We start from the raw sequence: 23,034 nt of genomic DNA on the forward strand, positions 1-23,034 counted from the left end.
CCTCTCTCCTTGCCAGATCTCTTCTCCTTTTCTTCCTCTACCCAGAGGTCAAACTCTATTTGTGAATTGTGTTATATCATTCCTAGCCTTTCTTTGTATATATTCCTAAATAAGATATAGATTTTGCATATTTTAAAACTGCACATAAATGCTATCATCTATTTTCCTGCAGCTTGTTTTTTTCACTCATTCTGTTTGTAATTCATCCATGTTGATACACGTAACTCTAGTTCCTGGCCAGTCATTACACTATTGTATTAGTACTGCACTGTGTGAATATTTCAAAGTTTATTCATTTTCCTTTTGAAGGGCTTCCACTTTTTTACAACAAAAAAATGCTATTAATGTTCATGTACACATCTAAGACAATTTCAGGTTTGATGACTAGTAATGGAACTGCCAGGATGTTAAGATATATGCATTTTTATTAGAAAGTACAAAACTGCATTATACAAAGTGGCTGTACCTATTCACACTTCCTACACATTACAGCATTCGACAGGGAAGAACACCAGCACAGCTTTATTTATTTTTTTTTTTTAAAAGAAACACTAGAGTATGTCAACCTTTGAAGACCCGGACTTTGAAAACTGCCAAGTTATGCAACCTAATCACCAACAGATCAAGCTATTTAGAAATCTGAATCAAGCTTTCTGGGAATAATACTATTCTGAAGATCCTCCCCTGACTCCTGCCTACCACCTTTCTGTTCATCCTCTCTATCAACCCTACTACAACACTGCTCCCACTTCAAGAGACTGCCGATCCAGTCCCCTTCCATTTTCACTATCACTCACCCACACCTGTCTTTCCATACATCCCCCTACCCAATGCAGCACAGATTTCATGATCCATCACTATCATTGACTTTTTTTTTTGAGATAGAGTCTTGCTCTGTCGCTCAGGCTGGAGTGCAGTGGTGCAATCTCATCTCACTGCAACCTCCACTGCCCAGGTTCAAGCGATTCTCCTGCCTCACCCTCCTGAGTAGCTGGGCTTACAGGTGTGCGCCACCAAGTCTGGCTAATTTTTGTTTGTTTGTTTTTTTGAGACAGAGTTTCGCTCTTGTTGCCCAGGCTGGGGTGCAATGGCTCAATCCTGGCTCACCACAACCTCTACCTCCTGGGTTCAAGTGATCCTCCTGCCTCAGCCTCCCTAGTAGCTGGGATTACAGGCATGCGCCACCATGCCTGGCTAATTTTGTGTTTTTAATAGAGACGGGGTTTCTCCATGCTGGTCTTGAACTCCCAACCACAGGTGATTTGCCCACCTCGGCCTCTCAAAGTGCTGGGATTACAGGCGTGCACCACTGCACCTGGCCTGATTTTTTATTTTTAGTAGAGATGGGGCTTCACCATGTTGGCCGGGCTGGTCTTGAACTCCTGACCTCAGGTGATCCACCCGCCTCGGCCTCCCAAAGTGTTGGGATTACAGGTGTGAGCCACTGCGCCCAGCCTTATCATCAACTTTTAAAAATACCCGTACGCCCCGTCTCCTTCTCCCTCTCCCTCAAGAGTACTTACTCCACAAAGCCCCAAACCTGGCTGAATCCAACCATCTCCTTTCTCAAACAGTTTGGGTTTACTTTAAATTTATGGCCACGATTCTTTGTTTGCCACTCAACAGTGAACACTGGGCCTATAATTTTCCTTAGTACATTCGTTTTCCTATTCTCTTTGACCATTTTCATACCTTCTTTGCATATCCAGTTTCAACCCCATGATGAACTTGACTCTACCACTCTGACTTATGCCTCAATGAGAAAATCAGAAATACCAGAATAGAACACCTTTTTCTTCCAAGCACATCTACAAATCTACCTGCACCTATTTCTATATTCCCAGCTGTTCTTTCTTCTTGTCATCTGAATCCAATCCCCTCTTGACTTTTCAGCAATACCCCTGCATTTATCATAGTTTACTCCTGCAACAAGCTCTTCCTCTTTTCAAGCCTTACTTTCATCAGCATAAAAACAGGTCCCTGGTATTTTCCATTTAATACTCCCTTGACCCCATCTATCCCCTCTGGCTTCATGTATATGCACATTTTTACAACAAACTTTGTGAAAGAGTTGTTGTCTCTTTGTGTATCTCTATTGCCTTAGCCCCCAGTCTTTCAAATCCACTCCAATCAGAATTTCTCCTTCAACATTCTAGGGAAATTGCTTAAGTCTTCAAATTAGAGAAAATAGACATCTTTCAGTGAGAAGTACATGAAATGGTGAAAGAAACGGGGATGTATATTCAGGCAGCTCATGTGAAACAACCTTGGTGATCAACAAGGAAACAGATCCCAATGCCGCATCACTTTCCCAATCTAAAGGGAGCGCTCAGAACTAGAGAGACCCAGCAAAGTCATCTGACACCTGGGAGTTCATGTTGTATCAACGGGCAGTAGAGAAAGCGAAAAAGGTGAAAGAGGACATTTCCTACACGTAAAGGTTGATTGGAGGAGTTAGATCCGAAAAACGAAGAAAGTACAGTACCATGGAAACCAAGGAAACAAAAACGGAGTGGCAGAGACAGTAAAGACCTGGAGGAATAAATGATGCCAGGGGCTCAGGGGGAGTGGTTAACATCTGTAGATGGTTTCCTTTGAGGAATAAAAGGACAGAGAAGGTAAAGAAAATGCAAAACACGATCATAAACAAACAAAAATCATCAATACAGATGGCATAGTACTTACCCAATGGCTACTAAATCTTCATGATGAGGTGAACAAGTAAGACAGAAAATTGTCCTGGGTTCTATAAAGAGGTGCTGGCTGTCATTTCTGTTAAACCAGTAACAGAAAACTACTCCTTTTTCATCCCCAGATACTATTAAGTCCTTTACTCGAGGAGACCAATGTAATGTTGATATCGTATGCTTTAAAACAAAACAAAAATTTGTTATTGTCAATGCTGAAGTTCTACTTAATTTTTAACTTGTATCACAAACCAGCATAATGCTACATATACACATTAAAAGTAATTAATACGGCCGGGCGCGGTGGCTCACGCCTGTAATCCCAGCACTTTGGGAGGCCGAGGCGGGTGGATCACCAGGTAAGGAGATCGAGACCATCCTGGCTAACATGGTGAAACCCCATCTCTGCTAAAAACATAAAAAAATTAGCCGGGCGTGGTGGTGGGCTCCTGTAGTTCCAGCTACTCGAGAGGCTGAGGCAGGAGAATGGCGTCAACCCAGGAGGCGGAGCTTGCAGTGAGCCAAGATCCCGCCATTGCACTCCAGCCTGGGCGACAGAGCCAGACTCCGTCTCAAAAAAAAAAAAAAAAGTAATTAATACTTATTAGTAGTACTTCTATAGCAACACGATATTAACAAAATGGTGGGAAGATTTAGACTACTGGGGATCAAATAATCATTAAAAATTTTTTAAATAGCTTAATGCAAAGTTCTTATTAAGTAGGTCTTTTCCTTTGTTCTCTCAAAAGGCAGGTACATCAAGTAACTATCTAGCTTAGAAATGAGTTTCATTCACGCATTTACAGTCTATATCAGGAGTCCATTTGTATCAATAACCAGAGGGTAATTGTTTTAGACCTTGTGGGCCATACCATGCCTGTTGCAACTACTCAACTCTTGTAGCATGAAAGCAGTCATAGACAATACTTAAATGAATTAGTGTGGTTGTATTCTAATAAAACCTATTTGCAAAAACAGGCACAGAGCAGTTTGCCAACCTCTGGTTTGTATATATCTCCTTTCAAAAAAAGTTGAGACATCTTACAATATAGTTTCTTATCTAATTAATGAACACAATTACAAGTTACTTTGCACAGATGAGCTAGCAAAACTAGCTTGCAACAGAAGAACCCTCAGCACAGATAGATAAAAACGGTTTGAGAAACCAGTAAGCCATGGTACCTGATGGAGTGCATGTTCTGTCACAACTGTTTTTGTCTCTACATCCCATATTTTCACAGTCCCATCGTCGGAGCTGGTGGCACAGAGGTTGTACTGACCAGGGTGATGAGAAAATGTGAAGCCAGAGACCCTTTCGGTGTGTCCCACCAACTCTCCTATGACTTTAAGCAAAACCAGACGCTAGGTTAATCGAAGTGCTATCCAAGGTTCCTGGCAGAATCATACTGTTGTTGGATGACAAGTGAGCAGATGCTTTGGAGTTACTTAACCCATGGTATAACTGAAACACCGACGGACTTACACTCAGAATTCCCAAGTGCTGATATTGGCTGTGCCACGTGACTTCGAACAAGTCTCTGAGCCTCAGCTTCTCAACTGTGAAATGAATGTTGATATACCTTGCTCTGCTTAGTTCACAGACTGGAAAGCAGCTCAAATAATGTGAAAGTGACTCTTATTTAGATGTGGCCAGAATAAATCACCTGGCATGTCATATCCTAAGGCACAATCAAAGCCTAGTTTGGAGCCTGAAAGCATCTGGTTCAACCCATTCATCTTACAGTAAGGAATGCCACACGTTGCAGGATCTTGCTTAGGGCCTGCAGCTGTGGTTAGCCCCCAACCCCAGGAAGGCTCCCGGGGGGCTGGCGCGCACCAGGCTGGGCAGGGGAGCCATATAAATGGCCGAGACTATACAAGGCTAACTTTTCAGTAAGCAAGCGGCCCCACGTGGAAGCTCCAGGAGGCGGGACCGCTCGGCCACAGCATGGTGTAGCTCATTAGGAGACCAGAAGCAACTCAGCTTAGTGACTGTGGGCTGCCTCTCCTCCCAGCCTGGGCCTCAGTTTCCCTAGCTGTAGAAAACGGGGTGGAGTCGTCCACTCGGCGCCCCTGGGGAGCGTACAAAGGGCAGTAAGTCTCGGGCCCAAGGGTGGTGAGTTACCTCGAAACGGGGGTGTCCCTGGACTCTCGCCTGCGCCCGGGCCCACGCGGACAAGGAAGACGGAGGTCCGCGCGGCGAAGCCAAAGAGGCCCCCGGGCACGGCATCGCTGCAGCGGGCGCAGTACCAGTTGGGGGAGGGCGGCAGCGTCCGCGGCTCCTGCCCCATAACTACAAGCCGTCAGAGACAAGAGAAGCTGCCACAGCCGACCGCTCGTAGCCTCACGCCTTAGGTAGGGAGCGGGGCGGGGTGAACTCCGAGCCCCGCCTTCTCGGGCAGTCGCTACGGTGCGCGTCGAGGCCCAGCCAGCACCGCGCGTTGCGTTCCCGCTACCGCCGGGCTGGGAAGGGCGGGACCACGCGTGCTGCACTGGCCCTCAGTACCTAGCCCGCGGTAGGAGGTCCGCCCCAACCCTGGCTAGGGTCAGGTGCTGCCTGAGCACAGCCCCGAGGTTAAGCATTCTCACTTCCCACAGAAAGGCACAAAATTAGAGGATTAGACTAGTGGAACCACCGCCCCAGGCTACCAGTTTATTATTTGGAGCTGTTCAACCACTATCCCGTCCAACGTTTTTTGAGCGCTATGTGCCAGGGCACTTTGCTAGTTGTGGAGGTGTTTTAAAGATATGCACAAGAGGCCGGGTGCGGTGGCTCACGCCTGTAATCCCAGCACTTTGGGAGGCCGAGGCGGGAGGATCACGAGGTCAGGAGTTAAAAGACCGGCCTGGTCAGCATAGTGAAACCTCGTCTCTATTAAAAAACAAAAATAAAATAAAATAATAAAATAAGCCGGGTGTGGTGGCAGGCGCCTGTAATCCCAGCTGCTCGGGAGGCTGAGGCAGGAGAATCGCTTGAACCCGGGAGGCGGAAGTTGCTGTGAGCGGAGATCACGCCACTGCACTCTAGCCTGGCCACACAGCGAGACTCCATCTCAAAAAAAAAAAAAAAGTAAAATGCAACAATCCCTAGACAACAAATACTAGGGAGGCTGAGGCAGGAGAATCGCTTGAACCTGGGAGGCGGAAGTTGCAGTGAGCAGAGATTGCGCCACTGCACTCCAGCCTGGGCGACATTGCGAGACTCCATCTCAAATAAAAACAAAACAAAACAAAAAAAGATATGCACAAGAGGCCACTTAACAAAAATATTGTTGTACCTGAGTGAGTTAGAGAAAACGCCACACTTTGAGACGAATTAAGAGTCCATTTGTTTAGCCGGTGGCCAAGAGATGGCTAACGCTCAAAGTTCTCTCAGCCGGAAGAAGAGGCTAGATTTTCTTTTATACTTTGGTTTAGAAAGGGGAGGGGAGTCTAGTTAAAACAATTTTACAGAAATAAAGTAGGCAAAAAGTTAAAAGGATAAATGGTTACAGGAAAGTAAACAGTTCCAGGTGCAGGGGCTTTAAGACTATTTATTACAAGGTGATAGACTGGGGGCTTTGGGTGCTATCAATCAGACGAATTCCTGGGAATTGCGGATATTGCTCGCCACAGTATCTTATCAGTTAATTGCATCTTGGATGTGCTGGGAGTCAGCTTGCACAAGTTAAGTTCTTGAGGAAGGGGCTGCCAGTGAAAGAGCCAAGATGGAGTCTGTCTGGCTCTCTTAGCTAAGCAAGAGTCAATTCAAGTGGAAACAAGGCTAGGTGATCAGAGGAAAAAGGGAGAGTCTAAAAACAGGGTTAGTAAAAACAAGGTTGGGCATTACAATATGGAGTCCGGGAGACAGGCTGGTGTGAGCTGTGATCGAGCCACTGCACTCAAGCCTGGGCAATAGAGTGAGACCCTGTCTCAAAAAAACAAAACAAACAAAAATATGAAAGTACGAATCTGGAATTAAAAAGGGAAAGAACAGTTTCTGCAACTGGGTGGAAATTCTGGCTCTGGGTTCTGGGTACTCAAAGATGAAGGAGAAGCAAATGGAGTGACTCTTGATTTGCTTGATTGAGGGCCAGCTGTGTGAAGGAAGCTGTATGTGGTAAATGGTGTGGAAGAAAGTTTCCTTTCAACTCAAAAATGCTAAAATGCTCAGATTCTGCACTACTCGTGTGTTGCTTGTTTGCATTGGGTATCTGACATTCCTGCATAGGTAGCAAACCGCAATCTGAACTACCTGTTATTCTAATACAGAGGGGTCAAATACATATATTTGAAGGCGTCTAGGGGCACAAATTTGGAGGCACCTAGTCGTAGATTGATCACTGGTTTGCCAGTTGTTAGTTGAGAGACTTTAACATATCCTAAATATGTTTCCTCATTTGAAGAAGGAAAATGATAATCCATGCCTTGTTGGATTGCTGTGAGGAATAAATGAGATTTAGTGAAATACCTGCCTGACATAAGGCAGTAAATGCCAGATGAATATAAACTCATTCTTGAAGGTCAACCAGATTAGTAGGGATTAGGACAGCATACATCATATTTGAACTATTTGCTCTTTAAAAGAGATTTTAGGCTAGGTTTCGTGGCTCATACCTCTAATCCTAGCACTTTGGGAGGCCGAGGAGGGCAGATTGCTTGAGCCCAGGAATTCGAGATCAGCCTGGGCAATTTGGGGAAACTCCTTATCTATAAAAAATACAAAAATTAGCCGGGCGTGGTGATGTGCGCCTGTAGTCACAGCTACTTGGGAGGCTGAGGTAAGAGGGTGGCTTGAGCCCGGGGTCGAGGCTGCAGTGAGACTAGGTCATTGCTACCACACTCCAGCCTAAGCGAGAGAGAGACCCTGTTTCAATAAAATGAAATAAAATAGCTTTCACACTATTTCAACTGATCTTTACAACAAGCTTGTGCCCTAAGGTTAGTCATTTCTGATAAGAAAACTGAGGACCACCGGATTAGGTGGCTTGTTCACGGATTCTGTTCCCCTACTCCTTTCTAGTTTGTGAGTTGGGACTTTAGTTTTTCTGAATCCAGGTGAATTTTCGGAAGCCCACGTGCTTTCGGCCTTTATTAATTAATTCATTCCCAAGCCAGGTTCGCCTGACCACACCTCGAGCGCCGGCCCAGTGCTTGCGATCTTCGTGACGGCACCTGGGGTGTAAGTACTGCTTGTGGGAGAGCCCCACAGGAAATCCAGAGTATTGCGCATGCGTGCTGTCCAGAAGGCGCTTGAACTCGGCGGCTTCCGTAGCGGGAGGGCGAAAGATGGCGGCGGCAGTACTGGGACAGTTGGGTAAGGATTTCTTAGTGGTTAAGCGACAGAAGGGAGTCGAGATGGAATCTGAGTTGACGGCTTGTGTTGATGTTGCAGGTGCGTTATGGATACATAACCTGAGGAGCCGGGGGAAGCTGGCCTTGGGGTGAGTCTCTCGCTTCGGAGTTTCGGAAGGGCCCAAGGCATCTTTAGTATTCTGCCAGTTGGTAACTGAGCGCCTCCGTGCCTAACTGTGTTTTAGGCTCTGGGGTTACTGAGGCGAATGAGACAGCCCGAGTCTCTGCTTTGTCACTCTATTTTTTCTCCACCTTATTGCATAAACTGTACAGGGATCAGGATTACCCATAACCCAAGGGCGATTGTAAATGCGATTTCCGAACGTCTACTGTGATCTTTCTGGACAAGGTTAGACTATTCCATCTCCATATGGAAGCGTCCAACTTTTCAAGTTACCTCTCTGATTACTTGCTTACATGGGCAGGGACCGTGTTGTGGACAACTCTGCTTTACGTCGTACCTGACATTGTGTTTAGCGGTTTATATGCTTTAACTCACTCTCATAACATTCTACGAGTAGGTTCTGCTATACCCGTTTTTCAGACAAGGAAATTGAAGTCCCCAAACGTAAAATAACTTGCCTAAGGCCACTCAGTTGTAGGAAATTTTGAAGCTTTATACCAGAGCATTCTGTAGCCTTAGGACAAAAGCATTCATTAAAGGTTAGGGTAAGTAGTCGCTGTATTTCTCCCCAAAATAAAAAATCGGTATTTGAAAATTGATAATCTGATTGTAAATTTTCTGGTCTGTCCATTTGTTAGCATTGATTTTGGTTTAGTTCATAGGCTTTGCAGACAGATGAGTTGTATATGAATCCATTTTTTAACTGTGATCTTGGAAAAGTTACTTATTCTTAATAAGCTTCAGTTATCACTTTTATGATATGAGCGTTATGTTAGTACCTATCTCTTAGGATTTAAAAAATTTTTTAATTTTTATTTATTTATTTTTTTAGATGAAGTGTTGCTATGTTGCCCATGCTGGTCTCAAACTTAAGGGCTGAAACAATTCTCTTGCCTCAGCCTCCTGAAGTACTGGGATTACAGGCACATGCCATCTATGTAGCTCTAGTAGATTTTAAAAAGGAAATTCAAACAAGATAATGCATATGAAGTATTTAGTATGTTTATGGCATGTGATAATCCCACTCTGAATTCTAGTTGCCATTAATGTTTTTATTATTATAAATTATTACTGAGTTCCCAATTATATTTAACCCTTTTCTAAGTTTTTGGGTCCGAGGGGGATAAAGAGGTGGGCTAAAGAAGAAAATAGGAAGTAGTAGCTCTTAGGATTTGTCTGTACTCTTCTTAGATAATCTTCTATCACTCTTCCCCCAACCATGCTGATTTACTTACTTTTTCTGAATATACTTTGCACTTACTTGCTTCTTGGCTTTTCCTACTATGCCCTCACATCTTGTCTATAACAGCAGTCCTACCCATTATTCAAACCTCTGTTCAGATGTTTTCCCTTCAGGAAGTTTTCACTGGTTTCTCTAAAACGGAAAGAAATTAGTTTTTCCTTCCTTTTAGCATGTGTGCCTTCTATGATGACTTCATGTATATGTGTATGTGCCCTTTACTAGCTTGTGTATCTTGGAGAAGTAGGGACATTTATTTATTGTTGTACCTCCAGCATAAGGTCTTACACAGGCAAGTATTTTGATGTTGATTTGAATTGTCTTGCACCAACTTGTATTAAGAAGCTCTGAGCAAGAAACTTAAGCAGTTTGCCTTTAGTCTTTTCCTCTATGTCATGATACAAGAGTGTTTGATTTTGCTAGATAATCTCTAAGGCTATTTGCAATTCTGAAGTTATTACATAATTTTGTGAATCCTTATTTTGGATTTTCTAGTGGGGAAAATGACCATAAGAAAACTAAGTAGAAAGGTATAAATAATGTTCATGATAACCATGTAAAATTTTAGCATATAATCTGATTCAGTGATGAGAAACTTTTTTTTCCTTTTTTTTTTGGAGACACGGTCTCGCTCTGTGCCTAGGCTGAAGTGCAGTGCTGTGATCATAGCTCACTGCAGCCTCAAACTCCCGGGCTCCCACCTCAGCTTCCTAAGTAGCTAGAACTACAGGTGCATGCCATCACACCTGGCTAATTTTTAGGGTCTTGCTGTGTTGCTCAGGCTGGTCTCTAACTCCTGGGCTCAAGTGATCCTCCTGCCTTGGCCTGGAGGGATTACAGGCATGAGCCGCCAGGAAACTTAATTGCATATAGGCCCCAGACTAGAAATAAATAAACTAAGGGAAGTTGTCTATGTAAAATGAGAGTGGGAGGGCCTGTGGTGGTCAGTAGAGTGTATTCCTCATCTAAAAACATTGAATTAGGTTAAGAAAACTGCTGCTGACCAAATAAAACATTTCTGCAGGATATATATATATATACACACATATATGCACATATATACATATATACACATATATATACATATATACACATACATACATGTATATACACACACATATATATATAGATATTAAAATTTTTTTTTTTTTAAAGACAGCGTTTTGCTGTGTCACCCAGGCTGGAGTGCGGTATCATGATCATAGCTCACTGCAGCCTCGATTCAAGCCATCTTCCCAACTCAGCCTCCCAAGCAGCTGGGATCACAGGCGTGCACTACTACACCTGACTTTTTTTTGAGTTTTAGTAGAGACAAAGTCCTGTTATATTGCCCGGCTGGTCTGAAACTCCTGGGCTTAAGTAATCTCCCACCTCAGTCTCCCAAAGTGCTGGGATTACTCTGTAGGCTATATTTGTTAGCTGACTGACAGTTTTCAGTTTTTGAATTCCAAGTCTCCTATTTTACTGATGCATACATTTGAGAAGTTTTGTGACTTACTGAAGGTTACACAGTTAAATGTCAAAGTGAGGATCTAAACAAAATATTTTCTGGGACTACAGGTGCAGGCCGCCATACCTGGCTAAGTTTTGTATTTTTAGTAGAGATGGGGTTTCACCATGTTGGCCAAGCTGGTCTCAAACTCCTAGGCTCAAACGATCCGCCCGCTTTGGCCTCCCAAAGTGCTGGGATTACAGGCATGAGCCACCACGCCCAGCCAAAAAAATATTTTTTTTTAGGAGACAGAGTCTCACTATGTTGTACAGGCTGGTCTCGCACTCTTGGGCTCAAGTGATCTTCCCACCTCAGGCTCCCGAGTCTCTGGGATTACAGACGTGAGCCACCAAGCCTGTCTGTACCACCCTTTAGATGGGGGCATATCCTCTTAAGCTTTCCTCAGTTTCCAACCATGTGTAAAATTTTGGCATAGTTATTTACACTCAGTCCTCTTACCTTACCTGTCTCTGTATTCTTTCATTGATTCTACAAATATGTATTTAGTGCCTGCTCTGAGCTGGGAACTATTCTAGCACTGAGGATTTTGCAGGGAACAGGAACAGACAATAATCCCTTGCCATTGTGGGGTGTACAATATAGTAAGGGGGGCAAATAAGCAAAATAAGTAAAATATAGAGTATATTAGATAGTGACATCTGCTTATGAGAAAATAAAGCAGAGATTGAGAATAAGAAGTATGTGTGTTTGAGAGAGGAACTTGTAGTTTTAGATAGGGAAGGCCTCACTAAAAGATAATCTTTGAGTAAAGATTTGAAGGAAATGAGGAAGCATGCTGTGCTAACATCTGAACAAACAGCATTCTGTGCAGATAGAATAGTAAGTGCAACAGCTCCAAGGAACCATATCTGGTGTCAGGAACAATGACAAAAAGGAGAGGGATAGTGATAGGAGATGAGGTCAGAGAGGAAGGGGCAGTCATAAATCATATAGAGCCTTATTATTTTTTGTAAATACTTTGGCTTTTATTCTGAGCAAGATGGGAAACTGTTGTAAGGTTTTGAGCATGGAGTTATATGATCTGACTTATGTTTATGAGTGGTTCTTTCTGGCTGCTGTGTTGAGAATAGACTGGGGTGGGGATGGGGAGCAAGGATGGAAGCAGAGACCGTTGGCTATTTCAGGTATGAGATCATGGTGGCTTGGATTAGGGTGGCCGTGAAGGTAAGTGAATGGTTGGATTCTGGCAGTATGTTAACCACACCTGACAGATCTTGTTGATGCATTGGATGGGAGGTGTGAGAAAGAAGGGTGACACCAAAGTTTATGACCTGAGCAACTGGAAGGGTAGAGTTAACCACTTACTGAGCTAGGAAGACTTCCAGAGGAGCAGGTTTGGGGAGAATATTAGTAGGTCACTTTTGGGTTTGTTAAATCTGAGCTGTTGTAAGCATCCAAGTAGAGATACGAGTAGGCAATTGGGTATATGAGTTTATAGAGTTCAGGGAACGGATGTACATTTGGGAGTCATCAATGCATGGATAATGTTTAAAGCTGCAAAGCTGGTTGACTTCACCAAGGGAGTGAGTGTAGATAGAAAGAGTCCGAGGATTGATTCCTGCCTAAGGCAGCCAATATTACAGACCAGGGAGGGAGACAAGGAAACAACAAAGGAGACTGTGGGGGAGTGGCCAGAGAGGGGAGAAGAAAACCCCAAGTGTCCTGGAACCCAATTAAAGAAAGTGTCTCAAGGAAGAGTGAGTGACCAGAGATACTTAGGTCACTCTCAGATGAGGACTGATAATTAGAATTAGAATTTGTCTGTATTTTCTGTTTTAAGGTTGCTTCATTTTGTTTTAATTGAGTGTTATTCCAGCAATTGGCCAGGAGAGGGCACATAGGAACTTTTGATTTGATATTCTGTGCTTCTAAATTAAGAACCCCATTTGGAATAATACTTTAATTTAATTTGATTATAGTAGTTTGGTCTTTGCTTGATAATTCAGTTCATGAATTATTTGAGTCCTGAAAGTATTATAAGAATTCAGAAAGCTTTGACATTATTAATTCATAGTATGTTTAATTTATGAAGCAACATATTTAATTCACCAAATATGTATTGAAGATTTGAAGAGCGCAAGGTACTGTGCTAGGCGGGTACAGCAGGTATGGGCCTGACTCAAGAAATCTTTCAGATTGGTTTGTAGCAAAGGGGTTCATGTTTCTGTCATGCTGTTGGTGATGAGATTAGAGATAGAATTAAGGTTAGGAGAGGCCTTATAGATGATGTAGTCTAATTCCTCTTTTCACAGACAAAGAAACCAAGGTCCAAAGAGGTGACAAACATAGTGTACCCTACTCGCTAATTACAACTACATAGAACCATAAACGTTTATGATTATAAACTTGAGAAAAAACTTTGAAATTGTGTATTTAAAGCTTACAGTTCACAGGACTTATTTGGGGGCTGGGGACAGGAGAGATTAACTGTTCAAAGGGCCTAACTTTGTTTTATTTTTTATGCCCTTAAAAAAAGAAACACGGGTGTGGTGGCTCACACCTGTAATCCTAGCACTTTGGGAGGCTGAGATGGGTGGATCACCTGAGGTCAGGAGTTCAAGACCAGCCTGGCCAACATGGTGAAACCCCGTCTCTACTAAAAATACAAAAATTAGCCAGGTGTGGGGTGCGGTGGTGCGTCCCTGTAATCCCAGCTACTTGGGAGGCTGAGGCAGGAGAATCGTTTGAATCCAGGAGGCGGAGGTTGCAGTGAGCTGAGATCGCACCATTGCATTCCAGCCTGGGTGACAAGAGTGAAACTCTGTCTCAAAATAAAATAAACAAAACAGAGGCAAGGCCTTGCTATGTTGCCCAGGCTGGTCTTGAACTCCTGGCCTCAAACAGTCCTCCTATCGTGGCCTCCCAAAGTGCTGGTATTGCAGGCGTGAGCCACCATACTTGGCCAAAGGGCCTAATTTAAAAATAACACTAGCCATCAGTGTTTATCATGGGCTAGACATTGTAGGATGCACTAAATTATTAATCCATCAACAGTATTAAGTAAGTATTATTTTCCTCATTCTACAAGTAATAATATCTAAAATTTATTGAGCCCTTTTAAGTGTCAGGTTAAGTATTTTACTTGCATTTGAGCTTCTTAAGAAGGCTATGAGGTAATTATTATTAGTCTATTTACTGATGGGAAAACTGAGACCCAGAAAATTATATGACTTCCCCAAGGCCATTCACCTAGTAAATTAGAGTTAGGATTTAGACCAAGGTCTGCTCGACTCTGTAGCCTCAGCTGTCACCACTCGGCTTATTTTAGCAAAATAGGCCTTCATACATCATGTATCCTAATTTTGTGCTTTTCAGTTAAGACATTGGAACCTAAATGTGGATGGCAAAGGTATTGATTTTGTTAGGTATTTTGATGGCACTAATCTTGATATTAGGATAGGAGATAGTGAACTTGGGGTAAAAATGATACACTAGAATAGATTTGTTTGAGTCTTTGGTCTAAATGGCTTGAAGACTAAAAACAAAGGTTTTGTTTGCCAAGTAAATCATCCAAGTTGCATATTTGTATGAGAATATGCCAATATACAACCACTTTGAGTATATAAGTCTGAGTTAAATGTTTACGCAGTATCCACGTACCAGACATTGTTCTTGGTGCTAGAATACAAAGAAAGTCGGACTTGCCCTTTAAATGCTCAACATCTGTACACTTAGTACAATAACTCATTCTATTATAGCCACTTACGATAGTACAGTGGTCTAAGTCATTGCTGTATGGCTGGCAAGAACAAAGTATTAAGACAACGCGAGAATCATGATCAGATAAGGGATTAGGTGATGTTTCACATTGAGGTGACATTTGAGCTAGAACTTAAAACAGGATAAGCATTTCATTCAGGAGATAATAAGACGAGAAAACAATTTGAATAAAGGCTTGTTCAGGGAACAATGAACATCTATGTGGCTAGGCTATAAGGGCAGATTGGGTCTAGATTATGAAAGGCCTTCTATGTCTCGCTAAAGAGTCTGGACTTCGTATTGTGGGCAGTAGGGAAATACCAAAGTTTGCTGTGTTAACTTTTTATTTGGATATGCCCAGACATATACAAAAGTAGACAGTTTGATGAACCTCCATGTATCCGTCACCCAACTTCAACACTTACTACTTATGGCCAATGTTATTTATAACCTGTACTCTCCCTCATCATATTTTGAAACACTCCCCCCACTGTATCATTTTCATAAATATTTTACTATTATCTCATTAAAAAGCATTAAATATCCATTTGATATTTAAACTTCCAATGGCTTCGTAACTGTCATACTTTATAATAGTTCACACATTGAAACTAATTGATATTTCTGTTAAATCTCTTACTCTGTAGGTTTTTTATTCAACCCTCTCTTTTTTTTCTTGTAATTTATTTGTTGGAGACAATTGGTTGTTTTGTAGCGTTTTCTATACCTTGGATTTTACCGAGTGCATCCCCATGATATTACGTAACATGTTGTCTTTTCTCTGTGTTTCCTATTTTGAATCTAGGGGCTTGAGCCCCCAGTTTCATTTTGGGCAGGAAAGACTACTTTGTGGATGGTGGGTGGTGTGTTCTTCCATAAGGAGGCACATAATGCCTCCTTTATCCATTAGTTTATTAAGGATTATAAGATGATGCTATAATAATTTGCTATTCCTTCATTACTAACTTTATACAAGTCAAATTTTTCCTCATCTACTACTTGGAAACTTAATGGTACAGTTTGTATAGGAAAGACAGGATAAGTCTTGTCTTTTTCTTCATTCTTTCTCTTCATTCACCAGTTTTCAAAATAACAAGTTGGCTCACTAGCATTTTCTAATGGTAATTAATTTGTATTTTTCCTGGTTTTATTATGAACTTATGGCTTTAAACATATTTGATGTGTTTCAACCCACTACAATTATTGTCCTGATTAATGCTTGGCTTGTCCCATCTTTGGCTTGTTGGGCATCCACAAGTTGGCTCCTGAGTGCCTTTGACATGACCTTGGTAATCTTTGATGGCTTCTTTGCTTTCTGATATGACAAGATGTTCTGGGCTCATTTTGTATGTTATCTGCTTGAGATCTGCAATCAGCCATTTCTCTCAGAAGTTTTGGTTCTCTTCAATAGGAAATGGTATTTCAAGACCGTAATCTGGGAAGTAGGGGCACTAATTGCTACTAGATTGTTCATTGCTTCTACACCTCTTCAGTGGAGAGATCTAGTACTTATTGGATTTTGGCTGAACCTTTTCTGCTTATTTCCATACCAAGAATCCCAGTAGTCAGTGACACTGAAAAAAAAGGATAGCATTAGAATATTACATAACTATTCATTTGCTTATTTCAATAGACGTTTTTAAGCTGGAGGATGACATGAGTAGCTCTGAATTATAGAAGGGTAGCTCATTTGGTACTCAAGCAGAGAAAGATGGATTGGAATTGGGCAAGTTGATGGAAGAGAAATCAATCTAGAGGCTATTGCTATATAGGATGGTGGCAATTAGAATGGGGAAGAGGTAAAGCATTTGAGAACGATTTCAGGGGAATCTTTATTTTATCTGTAAGATTTGGTGACTAGCTCTGGCAGGATGAAAATCATTGGGAAGTTGAAGATAAACTCTAGAACACCATTCAAGAGTGATTTTATTTAGTGATATAGGGGAGTAGCGGATGCTGGGGAAAATGGGAGAGGGAGAATGACTAGTTGTATATTATTAAAGCAGTTAAAGTGTGGGGGAAGAGGTCAAGGAATAGTGAATTTGGGATCTTCATCATCAAGTCTCAGCCTATTAGTTTAGCATTCAAAGACAACCACTCTAGCCTCAATGACCTTTCCAATACTTAACAAATTCTCTGACTCAGTCAGACCTCCCCTTATTTCTCAACTCTGTACCTCTGCATAGATGATATATGTCGTTGCCCCATTCCTCTGATAATTAGTGTATTAGTCCATTTCACACTGCTATAAAGATACTACCTGAGACTGGGTAACTCATAAACCAACAAGGTTTGATTGACTCACAGTTCTGCGTGGCTGGGGATGCCTCAGGAGACTTAGAATCATAGGGGAAGGTGAAGGGGAAGCAGGCAACTTTTTCACAAGGCAGCAGGAGAGAGAGACAGTGCAGGGAAACTGCCACTTTTAAACCATCAGATCTCATGAGAACTCCCTCACTATCACGAGAACAGCATGGGGGAAACTGCCCAGCGATCTAATCACCTCCCACCAGGTCCCTCCCTCAACATGTATGGATTACAATTGAAGATGAGATTTGGGTGGGACACAGAGCCGAGCCATATCAATTAGGAAGTTCAAGATTCACCTGAAGTCACCTCTGAAATCCTCTGCTGTTTCCCATATTTTAGTTATGTGGTTTTATATTGTCTTCTAATTGTTTTGTGTTTTTGTCTTAGTTACTCAACAAAGTTGGGCAATCTTACAGGTCAGATCAGAGAGCTCATTATGTCTTCTCTAAATCTTTCTTAGGAGTGGGTGACTTATAGAAGACAGTGTTATTGGCCAGTCAGGGCAAGAAATCTTGGGTTAATATCTATTAACGGTTTGACTTATGTGCGTTTACTTTCTCTCCTGTTAGCCTCTAATAAACTGTCTCTTTGTTGTGTTTAAAAGTAGTCTCTATTAATGAATACCTCTAGAATATTTCCAGTTGTGATCCTTAAATTGTTTTCATCAAAATGGAGCTGAAGTGGTTCAAAAGATATGTAAACTCTACAGAAAGGTCCCCTAAGTGTCTGTTGTTTTATAGGCTTCTTTCATTTCACAGTGTTTTACCTCAATCATATATCCACACAAGTGCTTCTCTTGACATTTCTCGAAAATGGGAGAAGAAGAATAAAATTGTTTATCCTCCACAACTGCCTGGAGAACCTCGGAGACCAGCAGTAAGTTCGTGGGTAGAACTAATCTCTTAATTGTGGTAGTGCTCTTACTCTTAAGTGATTAGTAATGATTTATTATTCTGTGTTAAAAAAATTATACAACCATTCACTCTAATTGACAGAGAAGATGTACTAGATTTATCTCTTCAATAGTTGAAAAAGATTGTTATTCTTTACTTATTTGTCTTTACTTAACCTCCTGGATAGGGACCTTAACTCTAAAACTAAGCTAATAGTTTAAGACATACTGATTTTTGACTCTGAGAGGCTTGCTGATGAGCTCTTAATGATGGAGCATGTGGAGTTGGCAAGAATGACTTAAACTATTGGCCAATGTTTAAATTATGTATATGATTTTCCAGTGTTATATATTTGAATATAGACACACTGTTTTTTGTTTGTTTGTTTGTTTGTTTGTTTTGCAATTTGAACCTAAAGTTTGAACTTAATCATTGGGTTCCTACTGGAGATTTATCTTATCGTTATCTGCACAGAATAAACAAATAACTTTTCAACTTTCATATTTTGTCATGACATCACAACTTGAAAGATTTGTCAGTATAGGCTATTAAGTATTGACTCCATTTTGTTTATTTTATTTTATTATTATTATTATTTTTGAGACAGAGTCTTGCTCTGTCACCCAGCTGGAGTGCAATGGCACGATCTTGACTCACTGCAGCCTTCGCCTCCCGGGTTCAAGGGATTCTTCTGCCTGAGCCTCCGGAGTAGCTGGGATTACAGGTGCCCGCCACGATGACCAGCTAATTTTTGTATTTTTAGTAGAGATGGGGTTTCACCATGTTGGCCAGGCTGGTCTCCATTTTGTAATTAACCAAAATTGACTAAATGAAACGTTACACAATTGCACAAATATCATAAATAAAAATTTTTCTGTAACTAATGAACTTTTTTTGCTTCTTACCTGAGCTCTTTGAAATCACGTATTTTTTTTTTTTTTTTTTGAGATGGAGTCTCCCTCTGTCGCCCAGGCTGGAGTGCAGTGGTGCAATCTTGGCTTACTGCAAACTCTGCCTCCCGGGTTCACGCCATTCTCCTGTCTCAGCCTCCCGACTAGCTGGGACTACAGGCGCCTGCCACCATCCCGGCTAATTTTTTGTATTTTTAGTAGAGACGGGGTTTCATCGTGTTAGCCAGGATGGTCTCGATCTCCTGACCTCATGATCCGCCTGCCTCGGCCTCCCAAAGTGCTGGGATTACAGGCGTGAGCCATCGTGCCCGGCCTGAAATCAGGTATTAATTGGAAATAAATTACAACAGTATTTGTCAAGTCCAGAATCTATAACAGCACAATTTTGTTATGTGTTTGTTTTGTTTAGTATCTTTAGATACTAAAAAAATGTACTTTAGGATATATCCCAAGTGGCAAAATTCAAATAGTTAGTAGTATGTCATCTGCTTAACTCTAGCAAATGATGAACACTATCAATACAGTAATTTGTTGTGTGTTATATTTAATGAAACTATTTTGATTAACTTTTTTGTATCATTTATCCTTCTTATACAAGTGCCTGTGGGAAGACATTTAATTTGATTTGATATAGGTACTTTGGAAAACCTTAATTTCTCTATTTTGCACAGATTTTGTTTCAGTAATCCTTTGGGGGACAAATTATGACATCTGGGAAATATGAACATTTTCTGACTTTAAATAGTATTTAGTAATTTAATATTGGTACATCAGTTGTACCTGTTATGACTGGGAATACCGATACCCTTCATAAATACCTAACTTACCAGAAATAATTTATTCACTGGCCATATAGTTCATAATACTGCGCTATAATATACAATGTCCCTTAGAATTTCCAATCTGCCAGCTGCAGCCATTATTAAAATTAGTTTTATCTCTAGCTGAAAAGAGGGCCAGATAATATCTACCATTCTACCTAATTCTGATCTTCTGCATTAGAATATATAGTCAATAAATAACAGTGGATGGGATAGTGAGCAAAACCCGTAGCAGTAAATAAAAATGAATGTTACCAATGTAGAGTTGTTCTAGGCTACTCCTCATATTTTTAAGACTAACTTCGTAGTTTAGCTAGCACCAATTTCCAAAGAATATAGATTCTTATGTAGATTTTATCTTATATGGGGCTTCATATGAAGACAGTGAAGGCTGGGTGTGGTGGTTCATGCCTGTAATCCCAGCACTTTGGGAGGCTGAGGTGGGCATATCACAAGGTCAGGAGTTCAAGCCCAGCTGGCCAATATGGTGAAGTCACATTTCTACTAAAAATACAAAAATTAGCCGGGTGTGGTGGTGCACACCTGTAGTCCCAGCTACTGGGAGGCTGAGGCAGGAGAATCACTTGAACCTGGGAGGCAGAGGTTGCAGTGAGCTGAGATCGCACCACTGCACTACTTCAGCCTGGGTGACAGAGCGAGACTCCGTCTCAGGAGAAAAAAAAAAAAAAAAAAAAAAAAAAGAAAATGAGCCAGAGAGAAATTAAATGGCTTTCTTTATGATAGTCACACCTTGTTAATTTGGGCTTCAGTTTCCTTTTGCAGTATCTTTGAAAAAAAGCTATGTTAAATAAATGAAAAGTGTAATGAGACTGGGTCAAAACTCTTTGAGCTACCATTTCTTATTTTTCCTCTTTTTCTTCACTCCCCCAACAACCGTTTCTATATGAGACGTATTTTTAATTTATGGATTAGTCAGCATACTGATAATAATACCTTAATGTGAATCTGAATCTCATAAAGCTCTAGTAAGAACTTTTTTTTTTTTTTTTTTTTTTTGAGACAGGGTCTAGCTCTGTTGCCCAGGCTGGAGTGCAGTAGCATGATCTCGGCTCACTGCAGCCTCCACCTCCTGGACTCAAGCTATTCTTGTGCCTCAGCCTCCCAAGTAGCTGGGATTACAGGTGTGTGCCACCACGCCCGGCTAATTTTGTATTTTTAGTAGAGATGGGGTTTCTCTGTGTGGTCCGGGCTGGTCTCCAACTCCTGGCATCAAGTGTTCCACCCACCTTGGCCTCCCAAAGTGTTGGGATTACAGATGTGAGCCACCGCACCTGGCCTAAAACTTTTTTTTTTTTTTTTGAGACAGGGTCTCACTCTGTTGCCCAGGCTAGAGCACAGTTGTGCAGTCATGGCTCACTATAGCCTTGACCTCCTGGGCTTAAGAGATCTTCCCACCTCAGCCTCCTGAGTAGCTGGGACCACAGGTATGTGCCACCACTCCCAGCTAATTTTTGTATTTTTAGTAGAGACGAGTTTTTGTCATGTTGCCCAGGCTGGTCTCAAACTCCGGGGCTCAAGCAATCTTCCTGCCTCGGCCTCCCAAAGTGCTGGGATTACAGGCATGAGCCACAGCGCCTGGCCAGAAATTTTATTAGGTAACACTTTTTCCTCATTTGAATTATTATATGCATTTAAAAATAAATTGATTTATTTAAAAGTTATTGATTTAGACATTTTATAATTTAGACATACATTTATTTCATTTGAATAACTATTTTACGTATCCTATCCTCACTTTATCTAATTTGCTGTATAGGTCAGTTAATGGCAGAGATATATAACTAGGTCTTCTGACCTCCACCTTTGTTACTTTATTTGCTTGATACGTACTGAGACTTTGTCTCGTTTATCTTTAGAAAGTGCCCTTAGACATTTCACCTGCCCAAAGTAAATGCTGAGGTTTTTTTTCAGTTTTGGAAGAGGATGATTAACTTTTGCCTTTCTTGTAAACACTTCTTCCTTTTTGCCATCCTCTGGTCAGGATTACCATTGTTTATATGTGTAAAATTTGAGGGTAATCATACAAAATTAAGGTTTAAAATTATCCCACCACAAGAATGCACAAATTAAAGGGTCTCTTCTTTTTTATTTTTATTTTTTTGAGACGGAGTCTCGCTCTGTCGCCCAGGCTGGAGTGCAGTGGCGCAATCTCAGCTCACTACAAGCTCCACCTCCCGGGTTCATGGCATTCTCCCGCCTCAGCCTCCCGGGTAGCTGGGACCACAGGCGCCGGCCACCATGCCCGGCTAATTTTTTTTTTTTGTATTTTTAGTAGAGACGGGGTTTCACCATTCACAGGATGGTCTCGATCTCCTGACCTTGTGATCCGGCCGCCTCGGCCTCCCAAAGTGCTGGGATTACAGGCTGAGCCACTGCTCCCGGCCAAGGGTCTCTTCTATATGAAAGATTTCATTGAGTGGATTAATTTTTGCAGATTATTATTATCAGTCATGATAGTTCTTTCCTCTCCCTGTCTCCCCAAGAAACTTTATTGCTGAAAATGTAATTAGGCTATTGCTATAGTTTCAGGCTGTCTGCTTCTATTGCAACTGAAATCTGCCACATATTAAAAGATGGCCACTTGAGAAAACTGCTCTTTCTAAGGCATTTGAAAATTTCCAGCAGGAGTCAGAATGTTAGAAAGTTTTGAGACCTCCTTGCTATAGTTTTCCATAACACATGTTTTCTAATTTTTTTTTAAATGGCAGTTTGGTATAGTAGTGGAAAGAAAGTGGGTTTTAGAGTCAATAGAGGAACTTTTGAAAGTAGATGTGCTAGACATTGTATCAGGTGTATCATACTTCTCTGTTCTTTGAATTCCAACTTTGTCTCTTGCAAACCTCTGGTCTTAGACAAGTCACTTGATTTCTCTGATTTTCAGTTTATATGTAAAATGTTTCATCCCTCAACTCATAGAGTTAGACTAAATGAAATAATGAGTGAAAAGTGCTTTTTGAACTATACATTGTAATTAAACAGGACATACCTACAACTTTAAATAGAAGATAATAAAAGCTAACATTTACTGAGAAGTTACCATGTGCCAAGCACTATAAAATGGTTTCTTGAAATAGGTTACTTTATTTCCCTCTAATTATCGTTTTATTTATTTTACAGAAGAGGAAAATTAGAGAGAGGTTAAGTAGCTTGCTCAAGATTATGTAGCTAGTAAATGGCAGAGTTAGGATTCAAATCCAGGCAGGCAGTCTGATTCTAGAACCTATGCTGTTGGCCAAACACCTAGAATATTGGCTTTTCACATGAAAACACTTGTCCATTTTGCCATTTTTCTCCTCATTAATAATGAACGTTTTCTTGTACTTTTTCTTTTGTTCTTTTAATCAGCTAAATGTTTTAAAGATACTTTCATTTAAATCTTTTAGGATTTCTTTGGATAGAAATGTTGCAAGTGTTGACACAAACCAGCCATTGTATAGTTTCTATTTCTCCCGTAGTAATCTTTTAACATAGTGAGACTTTG

The 23,034-nt window shown here is 41.2% G+C and overlaps 2 protein-coding genes across 4 annotated transcripts in view, besides 4 other annotated features; one reads left to right on the forward strand and one right to left on the reverse strand.

The window, feature by feature from the left end:
• Positions 1 to 5,056, reverse strand: part of GEMIN5 (gem nuclear organelle associated protein 5) — a 50,801-nt gene extending 45,745 nt beyond the window's left edge. For both annotated transcript variants that reach the window (NM_001252156.2, NM_015465.5), the window contains exons 1-3: positions 4,813 to 5,056; positions 3,870 to 4,030; positions 2,686 to 2,867 (exon numbers count right to left, since the gene is read on the reverse strand). In NM_001252156.2, coding sequence (NP_001239085.1) covers positions 2,686 to 2,867; positions 3,870 to 4,030; positions 4,813 to 4,978 — 509 coding nt within the window. In that variant the 5' untranslated portion in view covers positions 4,979 to 5,056. The remainder of the gene's footprint in view (positions 1 to 2,685; positions 2,868 to 3,869; positions 4,031 to 4,812) is intronic.
• Positions 4,552 to 5,143: an enhancer, noted in NCBI's record as "H3K27ac-H3K4me1 hESC enhancer chr5:154317267-154317858 (GRCh37/hg19 assembly coordinates)". NCBI's record gives its function as "activates a minimal SCP1, AML or CMV promoter by ChIP-STARR-seq in naive H9 embryonic stem cells {active_cell/tissue: H9 hESC(naive)}" and the evidence as "EXISTENCE:reporter gene assay evidence [ECO:0000049][PMID:30033119]".
• Positions 4,735 to 4,914: an enhancer, noted in NCBI's record as "active region_23489". NCBI's record gives its function as "activates an Ori minimal core promoter by ATAC-STARR-seq in GM12878 lymphoblastoid cells {active_cell/tissue: GM12878}" and the evidence as "EXISTENCE:reporter gene assay evidence [ECO:0000049][PMID:35858748]".
• Positions 5,305 to 5,354: an enhancer, noted in NCBI's record as "active region_23490". NCBI's record gives its function as "activates an Ori minimal core promoter by ATAC-STARR-seq in GM12878 lymphoblastoid cells {active_cell/tissue: GM12878}" and the evidence as "EXISTENCE:reporter gene assay evidence [ECO:0000049][PMID:35858748]".
• Positions 7,858 to 8,017: an enhancer, noted in NCBI's record as "active region_23491". NCBI's record gives its function as "activates an Ori minimal core promoter by ATAC-STARR-seq in GM12878 lymphoblastoid cells {active_cell/tissue: GM12878}" and the evidence as "EXISTENCE:reporter gene assay evidence [ECO:0000049][PMID:35858748]".
• MRPL22 (mitochondrial ribosomal protein L22) overlaps positions 7,918 to 23,034 on the forward strand; it is a 28,339-nt gene continuing 13,222 nt past the window's right edge. The window contains exons 1-3 of one of the 2 annotated variants that reach the window (NM_014180.4): positions 7,918 to 7,983; positions 8,062 to 8,110; positions 17,666 to 17,783. In NM_014180.4, the coding sequence (NP_054899.2) occupies positions 7,956 to 7,983; positions 8,062 to 8,110; positions 17,666 to 17,783 (195 nt within the window). In that variant the 5' untranslated portion in view covers positions 7,918 to 7,955. The remainder of the gene's footprint in view (positions 7,984 to 8,061; positions 8,111 to 17,665; positions 17,784 to 23,034) is intronic. The other variant, NM_001014990.3, reaches the window with a different exon arrangement.

This window comes from Homo sapiens, chromosome 5, assembly GCF_000001405.40.
Source record: "Homo sapiens chromosome 5, GRCh38.p14 Primary Assembly".
Lineage (NCBI taxonomy): Eukaryota > Metazoa > Chordata > Mammalia > Primates > Hominidae > Homo > Homo sapiens.